At 34.2% G+C, this 14,192-nt stretch overlaps 1 protein-coding gene across 7 annotated transcripts in view, besides 1 other annotated feature; it reads right to left on the bottom strand.

Annotated features, from left to right (window-relative positions):
* Positions 1-14,192, bottom strand: part of SLIT2 (slit guidance ligand 2) — a 368,657-nt gene that overhangs the window by 257,371 nt on the left and 97,094 nt on the right. The gene's annotated exons all lie outside the window — the stretch shown is intronic.
* Positions 11,107-11,652: an enhancer, noted in NCBI's record as "NANOG hESC enhancer chr4:20353162-20353707 (GRCh37/hg19 assembly coordinates)". NCBI's record gives its function as "activates a minimal SCP1, AML or CMV promoter by ChIP-STARR-seq in naive H9 embryonic stem cells {active_cell/tissue: H9 hESC(naive)}" and the evidence as "EXISTENCE:reporter gene assay evidence [ECO:0000049][PMID:30033119]".

Here is a 14,192-nt window from a genome sequence, read left to right as displayed (position 1 = left end):
AATTTTAATGTCAGATTGTTTAGTCTATATTACTTGTTCATGAGATTCACTATAAATTCCCCATTTAAAACAATATATATTTTTAATTAGGTATAAGAAGCAGAATCCAGTTCTAGTATTTACTGTTATTCGGTTGCTTTGATTATCATGGTTCAATAAGCCACGAGTGCTCTTATTGTTTCAGTCTCAGAAGGTGTACTGAACCTACAGACCCAGTCCCAAAGCAGTTTTTAAACATTAAAATCCCTTTTTTAAAAAAAAAAATTTCATTCCTCTTGGAAAATAAATTTTAAAGGAAACATTTTAATATTAAGAAAAATAATACAGCCAATATTTAAGTTCTAGAACAGAAGTATTAGGCTAAAATATATTCATTTATAAAAAGTAAACAACAAAGCAAAGTCTTTGAGATTAAGATGAAGCAAAACCTTCCAGAATAACCTTCAAGAAAAATCCATGTTTGTGCGTTTGTTTTAATATAGTTTTAAATATAAAAACCTTACTTTTTAAGTGAATAAACATATTTATGCAAGCTAAAAAGAAGATACACGTTATTTTAAAAAATACAAAAAAGTAAAACAGCACAGAATATAAAAATTTATATAATTAAACACAAATATTTAATTACATAAATAATATAAAATTAATGTTTATATTAATACAAACATCCATTTAACTGAATGTATGTAACCCAGATCAAAATTGTAACAATTCATAAAGCTGCTTGGAAAATCAATCCATGAAAAACAAGCTGTCCCTTTGCTTTCCCCCACAGTCCATAGAACCAATGAAAAGTTGACGCACTGAGAGCCTGCCTCTTCCGAGGTATCCTTGTCAGGTTCCCTTGAGACCTTGCTGCTCTGCGTTCCTGTTATGGAGCTCTCTCCTCTGCCTTCACCCACCCTGTGCTCCACAACTGACTCCAAGCCCCAACCAAAAGTTACAAATTAGGCAGACAGAACCATCCTTGATAACATGGTTTAAATTTCCCAGAGAAATCAGTGTGTCCTTTGTCCTGGGCACTCTCACCTACCTCAGGAAAAAGGCCATCCAGCGCAGGAAAGGAGGACAAGATGGAGCTGGAGGGAAAGCATGGGCTAATTAGGCTGTCCCTTGGAAAGTACTTTTCACCAAGAGAACGCAGCCATATTTTGAAAATTCTTTCTTAATACAGTGTAGCAAAATGAGCAGGAAACATCCTGAATGGTGTATTTTGAATTAAGGTCGAAAATAATTTTAAACTTTTTTGAATTTAAACTTTCTGAATATGATTGTTAAAAAAAATTTAGGACATATTTACAGAAACTCATTGGGCTGTACACCCAAAAAATGTGAATGCTTTTTGTGTAAATTATACATCAATAAACCTGAGTTTTTTCTTTGGAAGAGAAAAAAGAAATAAAAAATTAAAAATAAAATATACTTAGAGATACCTAACATTTCTTATGCAAAATTGTTTTTATGTTGTAGAATCTTTAAAGGTATTAGCTACTTTAAAAATTCAATATGCCATTTTAATGTTATACATTATAACAATATGTATAAAGTAGCTAATATACATTCAATCAGGAAAGGCCAACATATTAGGTTTGTACAAAAGTAATTGTGGTTTTGCCATTACTTTTAATTGAAAGTAATGCACCTGCCTATATTTAATGCACTGCTACTTCATCACTAACATTTTATAAGTTTGGATTTAATGCTACTGCTAACATTCATGAAGTGATGTGTACAATCTAAAGAGAGATCCTGAAATCTAATATTTTAATATGTTGTCCTCCAGTTTTAGCTTTATTTTTTATTAGTAGTACATGATTTAGTTATTTAAAGCTAAAAAAATTAAGTTCATTGATGGATGGGTAGATGGGTGGACGGGTGGATGGATGGATGCGAGGCAGAGCAAGAGAAGGAGGGAAAAGCTCTAATAAAACCTAATATATGAAATGACTATACCTCAAGTGAATCTGGTTGAAGAAGATATGAGATTCTCTAAGAAATTTCTGGAGACCTTTAGGATATCGTTTGAAAACCACTCACCTAAGGAGCCTTAATAATAGTTAAAAAAGAAAAATTCTACTAAGGTTTTTAAAAAATTCTGTAAAACAAAGGATGTCCTGCAAGGTAAATGAAATATCAAATATTGAACATGCTGATTATAATTTGTTAATCAGCTCTGATTAGCGTTTGTTGAGAGATATGGCTGATATAAAATAAGAATATGGATTCATTTCTCCCCCTCAATTTGTTTGTTTGCAAAACAAGGGTGATGGCTCACATAGTGAGCTCACAGGGTAAGTCACAGGTTGACTTTAAAAATTAAATGAATTCATACATGTAATGTGGATACAGCACTGGCTGACACCTAGTAAGCTCTCAATAAATGGTATCTATTTTTTAAAAAATAATCTCTTACAACTGTTATTGCTTCTGAAAGAATAGTATGTACCATGCACAGTTTTTCATAAATTTTATTAAGAAATCTAATTCAGCCACCCCACAAATCCTGGTTTTAATTTAATCACATATATTTTTTATGTAATTTACACAATTTTCACAATTTTAACGTATACCATTTTATTTAATTTACATAATTTTTAAAAATGTTATTGTATTTTTCTACTATTGAGTCATTCTATGCTTCCTGTAAAGTATAAAATGAAATCAAAGTTATTGTTCTTAATGAATCACAGTACAAAGAAAACTAATTTACTAAGTAACCTGTTAAAAGAGAGGCTTATATCTACAAGTTGGATTCCTGAGGCTCTTCTCATATTAAAGCCCTCTTGCATTTGTCTAGGATGAAATGAGGTCATGAAACCATTTAGAAGTTCCTAGGGGAAGATCTAGCCAAAATGACAAACGACTTACCTCTCACTTTCAGAGACTTCTAAAACTCCCACTAACGTATAAGCATTCCTCTATTCAGCTTTTTACAGGGCAGAAAGAAAATTAAAAAGGGACAGATAATAGGTATTCAGTTGATATTTATTGAACTTTTTGGTTAATGGAATGACTTAATACAGAGGAAAAGAGAGAATGTTAGGAAATTTTCCTATCCCTATGTATCTTTCAGTGAAGATTAAAGTGTAGAGAGGGAGTGAGCAGAGTCCTGTCACATGACCTGATCTGGAAGAGAAAATGAGGAATCCTTCATTTTCATTTTCCTACCTAGGTACCATACCATTTCTCCACTGTGCTGCTCACTGAATACTCTTTCTTCTCAACAACCGCATCATCTTCACATCTTCTCTAAAATGCATTGTCACTCTTGGGAAGAGCCATTTCATTTCACTTCCTCATTCTATCAAGCCATCTCCCTCCCACCATGATAAATCTACTTCCTGCTTCAAGACTTTGTAGGTCTGCTAAACATGAGGGTAGCTAACTTCCAGCAAACCTCAGAGCTGCCTTTTTCCTTACTTCCCCCACATTTGTACTCATTCATTAAGCAAAAACAAAAAAGCTTAATGTCTTGTGTGGCAGCCACTGGCCTTGTAACAATTTTTAAAGTATAACAAAATGTACTGATTCAACATTTCTGAGCACCTCTTCTCTAGTCTTTATCTGCTTGGTTCAAGACCTAAGCTTTGCTTACCTTGAGTCTAAGATCCCTAGACAAAGGTAATGGCATCCTAAGTGACACTGCTAACTCTAATCTAGCTCCCTTTGCTATGTCCTCTCCATTGGCACAAATGCAATCTTTTCAACATATGAATCTGAATATTATTTGTCTCTAATTTTTAAGTGCTTAGTAGATCTCTGTATTGAACAAAGTGGCATCCGAATACCTTCTCATGCCATGCAAAGCCCTTTGTAATACTGGCTCATGGACCTAACCAGAAATCCCTCCCTACACACCAAAACACACCATTCTTTGGCCATGTGGAGTTGTTCACACATCCATCTGTGTTTTTTCACCAACTTAAGTTCCTTTCCTCCTTTCACTCCTTGGTGAACACATCCCTCCAGACCCCATTCAAAAGTCGCCTCTTTAGTATAGCTTTTCAGGCTCCCATATTATACTCTGCCTTCATAATTGCCATAGTGGACTATAAAGACGTTTTATAATTGGGATATGTGTTGGGTACCAGTTTCATGGTGGCAGAGAACCTATTTTAACTTATATTTAGAACTCTTACTGTGGGCTTGGCAAGAAACGATTCTCGAAGTTGGGATATTTTCCTGGTTTCTACTGAAATACCATTATATATATCAATCTTGTCTATTTATGTTAAGAACCCAAAATGATTGTCCGAATTTTACAGAAACTTTGTATCTAGTTGATGTTGTTGTTGTTTCACACAGTGAATATATTATTCTTCAGGACACTATTGACTTGAACAATCCAAATCCCTGGCATCTCATGTTTATCTGCCCCTAAAGTGACTGCTGTATATGCTATCAGAAATACTGTCTTTTTTTCACATTAATTAGAAAGTTAAATGTCCAATGGGAAAGTATATTCACTGAAATTAGAAATGATTAAGACAACCCTGAGTTTAATTAACTTCAAGGTGCATGAGTTTGTCAAACTTCAAAATAGGAACAATGCTACCTAAATCATAGGGTGGTTCCTCGGATTAAGTGAGATAAAATATGTAAAGCACCTTAGAGACAGATTGTCTCACAGAGTAGACACCCAAATTTTTCCTTAATATTTTTCTTGAAAATTTCTTCAAAATAACCATTTTAAGCTTATCGTGATACTCTACCTACCTCGTCAATTTAAATTTACAAAAAAGTAAGACTGCGTGCCTGATGTGAGTAAGAACAACAGACTTCTATTCATTACTGTAACTTTTGGCCCACAATTAATTAGTTTGCGTTAAAAATACAGTGGATACATGCATCGACATGCAGAAATATGTATCTGCTTTATTCTTTTGCTTTGCTCCCAATATGCTATGTAATAAAACCAGTCCGATCACTCTATGATGTCTAACATATAACTTACCTTAACTGAAAAAGGTCTATCAGCAATCGAGAAGCAGATCCAGTAATCTATCCTAAGGGACACGTAGGCTTATGAAGTACAGAAGGAAAGAGAACATGAAGGGATAGGTCTGATTTTCTGGACCAATTATGTAAGTTCTTAATGTTAAAAACAACATTAATACATACCGTCATCCAACCACAGGTCTTATAGGCCTTTAAATTAAAGTGAATGTTATAAATAACCATAAAATGCATTTATGTAACAATTAAAATCCACATATCACCTGAAGTAATTCCTTAAATAAATAAGGAAAAAGTATTAAAATAAACTTGAATGGATATGATGTTATTAATAAACTTTAAAATCTAATAACCAATGTAGTCTATGTAATCTACCAATAAAGGGCTAGCAAAGTTTGTGTCTGTAGCAATATTAATATTGTACAATTAAGATTTCTGAAAATCGGAATTTGAAAGTATATTGGGGGGAATAAAAGCTGTTAGGAGACCAAAGTCTAATAACTAATTTTAAGTAAGCCATATCTGATAATAGTATGTCTTTCAAACATCACGGATTTTGTCTTTCTTTTCACATCCTATATCACAAACCAGTAATTTCAAAGCACTTGTAACAAAAGAAAAAGACTACCTACTACCTACTACCACTTTTTACATAATCTTTCTTTTAAAACTAGTAATGATATATAGGTATTATGTAGGGGCATCTATTTAACTCATGCACAGTGATATCCCCATCTTATACTCCAGAATTAGAAACTTGAACTAACTGTGGAAAAATAGCATATCTCTAATTTGTTGTTGTTATTAAGTTATAATATGAAAAGAGAAAATAGCAGAGACAAGTAAAATCAACTGTATTGATACTATCAAACATCACATTCATTTTATATTCCTAAAGCCTCTTAGGACTAACAAACAAATTTAACCAAGGAAAAAAGTGAGTAATAATAATATTCTGTTACCTAATAGTGGTACTTGCTTTAAAATTTGTTAAAAGCATTGAAATTCCAAATCAAGGTGTCTGACTTTGAAACTTCCCCCAATTAAAGGAGTAATGGAAACATGATGTAACCTTGATGGGAATAGCACACAATTTCCAGGCTGAAAGACAGTGGTAGATGTTAACTTAAAATATTTGCCAAAAATATTACACATTACAAAATGCTGGTTTAACAAAATTTTAAATCAAATTCAATAGAGAAGAAAAATTGTATTTGTTTTAACTTGTAACAAATACATATTTTTTTCAAAGTTTTTGTTTTGTTTTGTTTTAAACTTGCACGCCCTACAGACTGAGAAGTAATTTTTCTGTTTTCTACATTTACAAGATCATTAGTTTACTAAGGAGATTTCAAAAAGAAACACCAGTGGCTGGAGTCCCTGAATCTTTAAGCCCTGGGCTGGGAGGTATGGAAAGTGGCCGGAGAGCTTTGCACTGAAGAAGGAGCGTTTCCAGGCAACCTTGCACAGTTGAGCAGCCACAGGCAACTGAAACAATGGCTAACACTGGCAGAGATCCATTAAAGGGGAGTCTGCAGAAATACACTGTGTGTGTTTATCCTTTTTCTAAGATTAACAAAAAGTCTAAATATGAGCTAGAGTAATACAGGGAGAAATACTGGAGAAATAAGCTAAGAAAAATAATGTATTCTCTATGTTCTTTTAAATGGCTTTAAATGCATTGGACACTATTTCAGGAATATTAACCTATTTGTGTGAATAAAGCATTCACTTTTTTCTTAGTTGTCAATCCACATTATGAATAGAGTGTGTTAGGCTACATTTTACTATGCATCAATATCTAACTAGGTGATCTGATCTTGTACCGCTGGTAACCTCAACTTTGCACCTGTCTTAGTTTGAAAATGGAAACACACTAAAATTAAAAGTTGATGATACTTAAATAATACCATATTCTGGGATATTTGACCTGGGTGGAGAGGAAGGAATAGAGTAGAAGGTGGTTACATACAGCCTTTCATAGAATCACCTAGCCTCAAAATTCTAGTGACCAGACTCCAAATTCTAAATACATCAAATTTAAATAAATCTTCTTATGCTGGCTTTTGTTCTAATATTGATTATGCTTCATTTAATAACTTCAAGTTACTGAATGGCATCCCAAAATAAAATGTCCACTAAAAACAAACACTGAATGATTAAAAGATCTATACATCTTCATAATCATTTATCTTGTTCCCTATTTAACAATATTATATATGGCTCTATTTGATCTATGTATTTAAATTATATTTTTTATAATGCTAGGTCCTTAAAAGTCTGTATCCTATCAGTCAAATGTATGCATCAGATTTATAAATTGAATTACATTAGATGACCTAATAATAATAGTAGTAGTAGTAAACTGCTATCTCTTTCCATAGCTATTTAAGGAAAATTTTGAGCTTGATAACAATCAGAGACATATAAACATAATCTGATAATCAGATAATCACGTCACTTTCTTGCGTACTTCTACATAGATATCAGTCTGAAAAGACCACCTGGAATATTAGAAACAAAGTAAAGTTTTGGTTTACTTAAAATTATGGATCATACAGTTTTCTTAGAGTTGACAGTAGGCTATAGTTTGGTATTAAATCAAAGGTTTCATTTCATATGTGCTTCATACAATGACCACCTGCATTTGCTAGGAAAAGTAGCATTTAAAATGTAAGCTTTCCTTAAGAAAATGTCTTTTTTAAAAAAATCTCATCTGTCCTGAATACACACCTTGAAATGGAAAACAATAAGGAGAATATTCTCTTGGAAAGAATTCTACTAATGGAAATGTGAGTAATAATTAAACATGTTTTTTTTCTCATTACATGAAATAAAACTGGACTTTCTGTCATGCTCTAGCAAAGTCAGAAAACCCTCAAAGGCACAAATTACCCCATTCAATGGCTCTGCAGTAATAGAAATCTACAGAAGCAAGATCAATTTGCAAGCCATGGCCAAAGCCTTATCTGTTTACTAGTAGAGGAGGTGTTAAGCAGTATGATTTAATATTCATTCAGCCAGAAGAAATGCATTACACATTGAAGCTATGTGCAATGTTGATAATTACACACCTGTTGCCATGGTGATTTTAGAAGCTGCAGTGGATATAATTAAAATTCCAAACCCATAAAATCACCTTACCAAAACTTGATAACTTTAATCAACACGAAAATTAGGAAAACATATTTCAAATCATTTTAAGCAATAACTTAAAAATGAGGAAAGGTAAAAAAGAAACAGAAAAAGAAAGAACAGCTAAGATGGCATTTTTTTCTTGCCCTTGCTTCTCTCTCTCTCTCTCTCTCTCTCTCTCTCTCTCTCTCTCACACACACACACACACACACGCAGACTTGCCACACGTGTCCATTTTTTTCAAAAGTTTTTTCTTCAAAATTCTCAAAGTAATTGTATTAATTCTGTTATCATATTGCAGCAGATGGTGACAATATATAATTAGATTTGGTAGGCTTTGCTCACTGAGATCAATTTCTATAGTTTCCTCTACCATTTAACCATTTAGATTGTTTGCAAACCCTACTTAATAAAGAGTAAAGACATTTATAGCATGCTGTGCTCATTCATGCAAAAATATAGTCAGTTTTTAAAAGCCATGCAAGGTACCTCCAAGACCTTTTCCAAAAACATGCCATGAAGAAAAGGTTTATATATTTTTGTTTAAAACAGTCACCAAAACTTTGGAACATTTTTAGTGCCCTTAACAATGTGCCTGGTGATTGCACAGTTGGATGAGAATTTTGTGCCCTTGGTCATCCAATCAGTTGAGGACCCAGATTAGGACTGTCAAATTGTGTCAGGACTTTGCAGTGAGTGCTCACTAGAGTGTCTTTAATCCTCCAAGGTTTTCTCAAATGTCACTGCCATCTGGAGGAGAAGGAGCTTCCCTGCTGGGCTCCACTGACCACAAATTACCTTCTAAAGAGAAAGACAACAATAGAGAGCAGTTAATAAATGTTTGATTTTTTTTTGCAGAAAGGAAAAGTTAAAAAAAAAAAGAAAAAAAACCTACCTTTCCGTCTTAATTTAGCATTAAATGCTTTAATGCAATATACAAAAATGACAAATTGATGCCTGCCTGGTAGTTAATTTGAGGGAAATTGCAAAAATTTCTTAAAAATTTTTAGCAAACTGTGAAAGGATACTTAAGTCACTGCTAACACAGCACTCTTTTTTTGCAGTTTCCTCTGGTTTTGGAATAACGGATGATTTTATCCTACGCAATGAACATGATTACTTTTAAGTTATGGGAAGTATACTTTATTATGCAGATCCCATCTCTTTCCAATGTTAAATGAGCAGTGTTACCAAAAACTTAGTAAACTGAGATTAGAATAACCTAAAGTTTATTGCAACATTTCTTCTAATCCCCACTGCAAGTTCTAAAAAGAAATCTGGTTCTAGTTTCCTCATTTAAGGATATGACTATTATAATCCTCTTTTCTAAAGAAAGTCACTTCCTTGTCTGGCACAAAAAAGAGTGGGAAATAGGAAACCAGCTGCATTTCTTCTTTTAAGGGACACTATCTGCAGCTGCATTCAGGATCTATAAGCCTCTAATGTATTTACCTGTATTCTCCAAGTGCAAGTAAAATTCCTCATAACAGAGTTGTACAATATTTTGAATACGGTGTAATAAATAATGTATGCAGCCTGTTCTACATAAAATAACCGCTTTTTGTTTTTTTTAAATAAATATTCTTCATTATTTGTACTAGCTCCTGCCTTTCTGTTTATGTAATTCATAAAGAATATTTGTGTAACATGTCTGGATACAGCAAAAAGCTTTATTATATCACAATTAAGTTTCATACTATGGTCATTATACTTGCTTTTTTAGGGATGTCTTCTGAAAGTTTCTTCTTAAAGTTCAGAACAAAATAACTGAGTTATGCATAAATTCTATAATTTTCATCATGCTTTAAAGTAAAGCTCCTTTTTTTCCTGTGAAGTTAAAACTTTAACTTTCATGATGTTCTAATGTTTTACCCTTTGCTAAGTGATAATTATCTGGCAGAAATATGTCATTCCACATCTGCTATGAATGCACACACAATCTGAATCAATACAAACCTGTTTTTCCTACTACAGCACCTCTAGCTAAAAACCAGGCTCTAATCTAGAACAAAGGCAAGATTGATATACTCTGAGAATTCATCTGATGCTTCTCCGTTATACTGCTGCATTCAAATTGCATCTCTAGATGATTATACAACAGATTTTATAAAGGTGTGTAATCTATATTATTTTTTCTGTTTTACTGCAAATTTGTTCACTAAGTCAAATTATTATTATCATTATTTTTAGATGGAGTCTCACTCAGTTTTCAGGCTGGATTGCAGTGACGCACTCTCGGCTCATGGCAACCTCTGCCTCCCAGGTTCAAGCGATTCTCCCACCTCAGCCTCCCGAGTAGCTGGGACTATAGGTGCATGCCACCATGCCCAGCTAATTTTTGTATTTTCAGTAGAGATGGGATTTCACCATGTTGAGCCAGGGTGATCTCAATCTCCTGACCTCGTGATCTGCCTGCCTCGGCCTCCCAAAGTGCTGGGATTACAGGCGTGAGCCACTACATCCGGCCTCAAATATTTCTTAAAAGATAAAACATCCAAAGTCTGCTATAAAGTTTAATATGCCTTGAGCCCTAATAAATTTGAAGGTACAAGTTAATATTTTTCCAACAGCCAAAATTTTAAGTAGCGTTTATCTAATTTGACATATTTATATGTAATAAATCTAGCCTTAGTGATTAGTAGTTGTTACGTATTAACAAACTCCTCTACTCTCTAACCTGTATTAATCTGGGTTGGAAAAAAAGTTAACTCTTGATAAACATCAGAGAACTGATGACAAAATATCAGTTAAAACATGAAGAAAAAATGCACAAACTATATCTGTTATAATAAAAAAAAAGGTGAGAAGAGGCTTTTATTCTGCACAATCAGCAGGAGTGACAGGTTCAATGGATGATGAATAGCGTTATGCATTGAGTTACAGTGATGATTTTAAGTTCAGTAAGTGACACATTAAGTACTGCTATAACACAAGAGTTCAATCAATCTTTAGAATGCTAAGAGAAAAATGACTGTACAAAAGAAAAATTGCATACATAGAGACATACAGCACTGACACTTTGCCAGCATAAACTGAGAATCTATTTAACAAGCAGCAGATATAATGTCATTCTCGCTCTGTAAGAGAAATTCAAGCATGTGCATGATTTAAAAACACCAACAGAACCCAAGAATATGACTGTCATATGCCAATCAAGAATAAATGCTGAGACAAGAACTAAGAAAAGCTATCAACACCCCCATCAGAGAGACAATCATCAAAACACAAACTGCATTGTCATTTATAGACCTCTGCTGACATTCATAATCATAAACAAACTGAGTTGCTTAAGCAGGAGACTTTTTCAGCACCCCATTAACACACTATTGTTTATGTGACACAATAGGTACTCATAGGGACAAAGCCCAGGGCCTTCCTTTCATACTGTCCCACTTCAGAGCTGCCCAGGACTGCCCATCCACTCTTCCCACCTCCATGTGACCCTGCTTCCCCACTCACTGATCTTGTGCCCGGGATGGTCAGTGTCCTCATCTTTGTAAGTGGAGGTTGTCACCTGGCAGTAATGATAATTGAGTAACCTGGGGAGCTGTCTGTGGTAGAGAGGAATCAGGGTGGGAATTCTCATATAAGTGTTGGGTTCTTCTTGCCCACTGCCCAGAAAGGCCAATTTATGAAGACAGGGAAATTGCAATAGAAAAAGAGTTACTTTCTATGTCCTAATATATTATAATGTCATATCTACACATCCATAGCCAAGCAATGTTTCTGCCATTTGTGAAACAGACTATAGGCCGGGTGTGGTGGCTCATGCCTGTAATCCCAGCACTTTGGCAGGCCGAGGCGGGTGGATCACCTGAGGTCAGGAGTTTGAGACCAGCCTGGCCAACATGGCAAAACTCCGTTTCTACTAAAAATACAAAAATTAGACAGTCGTGTTGGTGGGAGCCTGAAATCCAAGCTACTCAGGAGGCTGAAGCAGGAGAATTGCTTGAACCCAGGAGGCGGAGGTTGCAGTAAGCCGAGATTGCAGCATTGCACTTCAGCCTGGGCAACAAGGGCAAAACTCAGTCTCAAAAAAAAAAAAAGAAAAAAAGAAACAGACTATATCAAACCTCAAAAACATGTATAATGAAGTTGTGTGTTCCAGATCTACTGTGAACAATGGCCAATGCTGCACTAATACTTTTCAAATATTTTGTTTGCAGTATTAAAAGTTATTAAAAAGATAATTTAATAGAAAGAATACGCATTTTAATATTATATTACTTTTATAAGTAAAAGTTGAAATTATTTAACTCTTTATTTTTTTTGTAGAGATGGGGTCTTACTTCTTGCCCAAGCTGGTCTCAAACTCGTGGCCTCAAGTGATCCTCCTGTTTTGGCCTTCCAAAGCACTAGGATTACAGGCATGAGCTACCAAACCCAGCAATTTGAATATTTAAACAGAAAAATCTAACTAGTGTTTCCCTAGTAACTGAACAATTGTTACTAGCTTCCATATTTTTATTTCAAAAATTAAATATTTACATAATAATGATGTACTTAATATTTTCAATCCATTTGTTTTCTGGATTTTAGGAAGAGACTTACATATTATTCTGCAAAATAAGCAGTAATGATAGGGCCATCAGATGATGCGGGATCTTATGAGATGAGCCATAGTGATATAATGATAATATGACAATGATTCACTATATCTCACACATGGACTTGAGAGATTGAAACATTATTGACTCCAGTAAAATAGAATTTGCTCATGCTTTGGGAAATCTACTGGTTCCAGACTACATATAAGTTATTTTTAAAATTGGGTTGGAGGATATTTGTACTCAGCATTAAAAAAAAAAAGCAAGGAGAAAAGCGTAATCACTGAGAAAATACTATATCGACTTATTTAATAAAAAAAATCACTTCAGAATCAAAAGTATGCTCTGCTCAGTGCTTATTAATTGAGCTATCCCACAGATGGTTACGTTTTAAGGAACAAGATTTAAACTTCAGAGGGTTTGCAATCTGAACAAGAAGTACATGATGCCTACCTCTTAGTAATTTATGCCAATATATGAACTATCCAGAGCTTAGGATAAAAATCACTCTTATTGCAGTCTACTGTAAATGTGAATGCACATGTAGAATGCAAATACTAGGATGAGTTACTCCAAGTAGAATATTACTTATACAGATTCAGATCAAAAAATAAAACAGTGCATTGTAAAGTTGTGTGGTAGTGGAGCAGACATATGTTATTCTTCTCTTGAAGAGACAGAAAGATGTGTAGTGCATGCCTAGAGCACTATAGGCCATGATACCAAAGGAATCCAACCTTTGTGCTGAGATGCCTCACCAGCCCAGATCTCTTATCAGAACTGAACCCATAGGGTCAACATTTTATTCTACATCTCTACAAAGATGTCTAATAAGAAATTCAAATATAAAAGTCCTAAGATTATGGTTCTCAATCTGTGCACAAAAGCAATTTGGGGAATTCATGGGGCTTTCGTGATACTTTAACATTTTCAGGGAAACACAATGATACTGAACATTTATTGAAGTTCACATCAAAAACTAGCTTCAAGTACTTTGCAGTTTCAGGAAACGTGGAGCTCACAGTACATTTCTTTCAATAGCATCATATCTTTATAAATCTGGGCTTTAGTGGTTACCATTAGAATAAAAAAGGGAACTACTGCATGAAAATCCATGCAGAACAGGAAGTGAGGGTGACAGTATCCAATCTCAATCTAAGGGCAAGACGTTCTGTACAGCCCAATAGCTGTGCACATCCTTGTTAGGAAGTGATTGTGTTTATATAAGATGGAAACAAAAATATTAATTTTCTTCAAGTCCTTATGTATTATTTTATCAAACAGCTACTTAATAGTAAGGACGTAAATCTTACATCATTTGGAACTAACTGCCGAATAAATCAACTCTCAGGCATTTCTTTTGGACTTGAGGGTATCATGAACATTTCCTAAGAAACCAAGAAAGTATGGAAACCTCTTGTCCACACCGAATTCCTATATGTAATAGATATCCAATCACCTTTGTAGTTCAACATCTTCACTTTCTCTTTGGGAATGGCACAATTTCCATATTACCAGTCCAAGCACCTCAGATGGAGTTGACTCTACTACTG

The sequence above is a fragment of the Homo sapiens genome, chromosome 4 (genome assembly GCF_000001405.40).
Source record: "Homo sapiens chromosome 4, GRCh38.p14 Primary Assembly".
Classification (NCBI taxonomy): Eukaryota; Metazoa; Chordata; class Mammalia; order Primates; family Hominidae; genus Homo; species Homo sapiens.
This window is presented reverse-complemented; position numbering and strand designations above follow the sequence as displayed.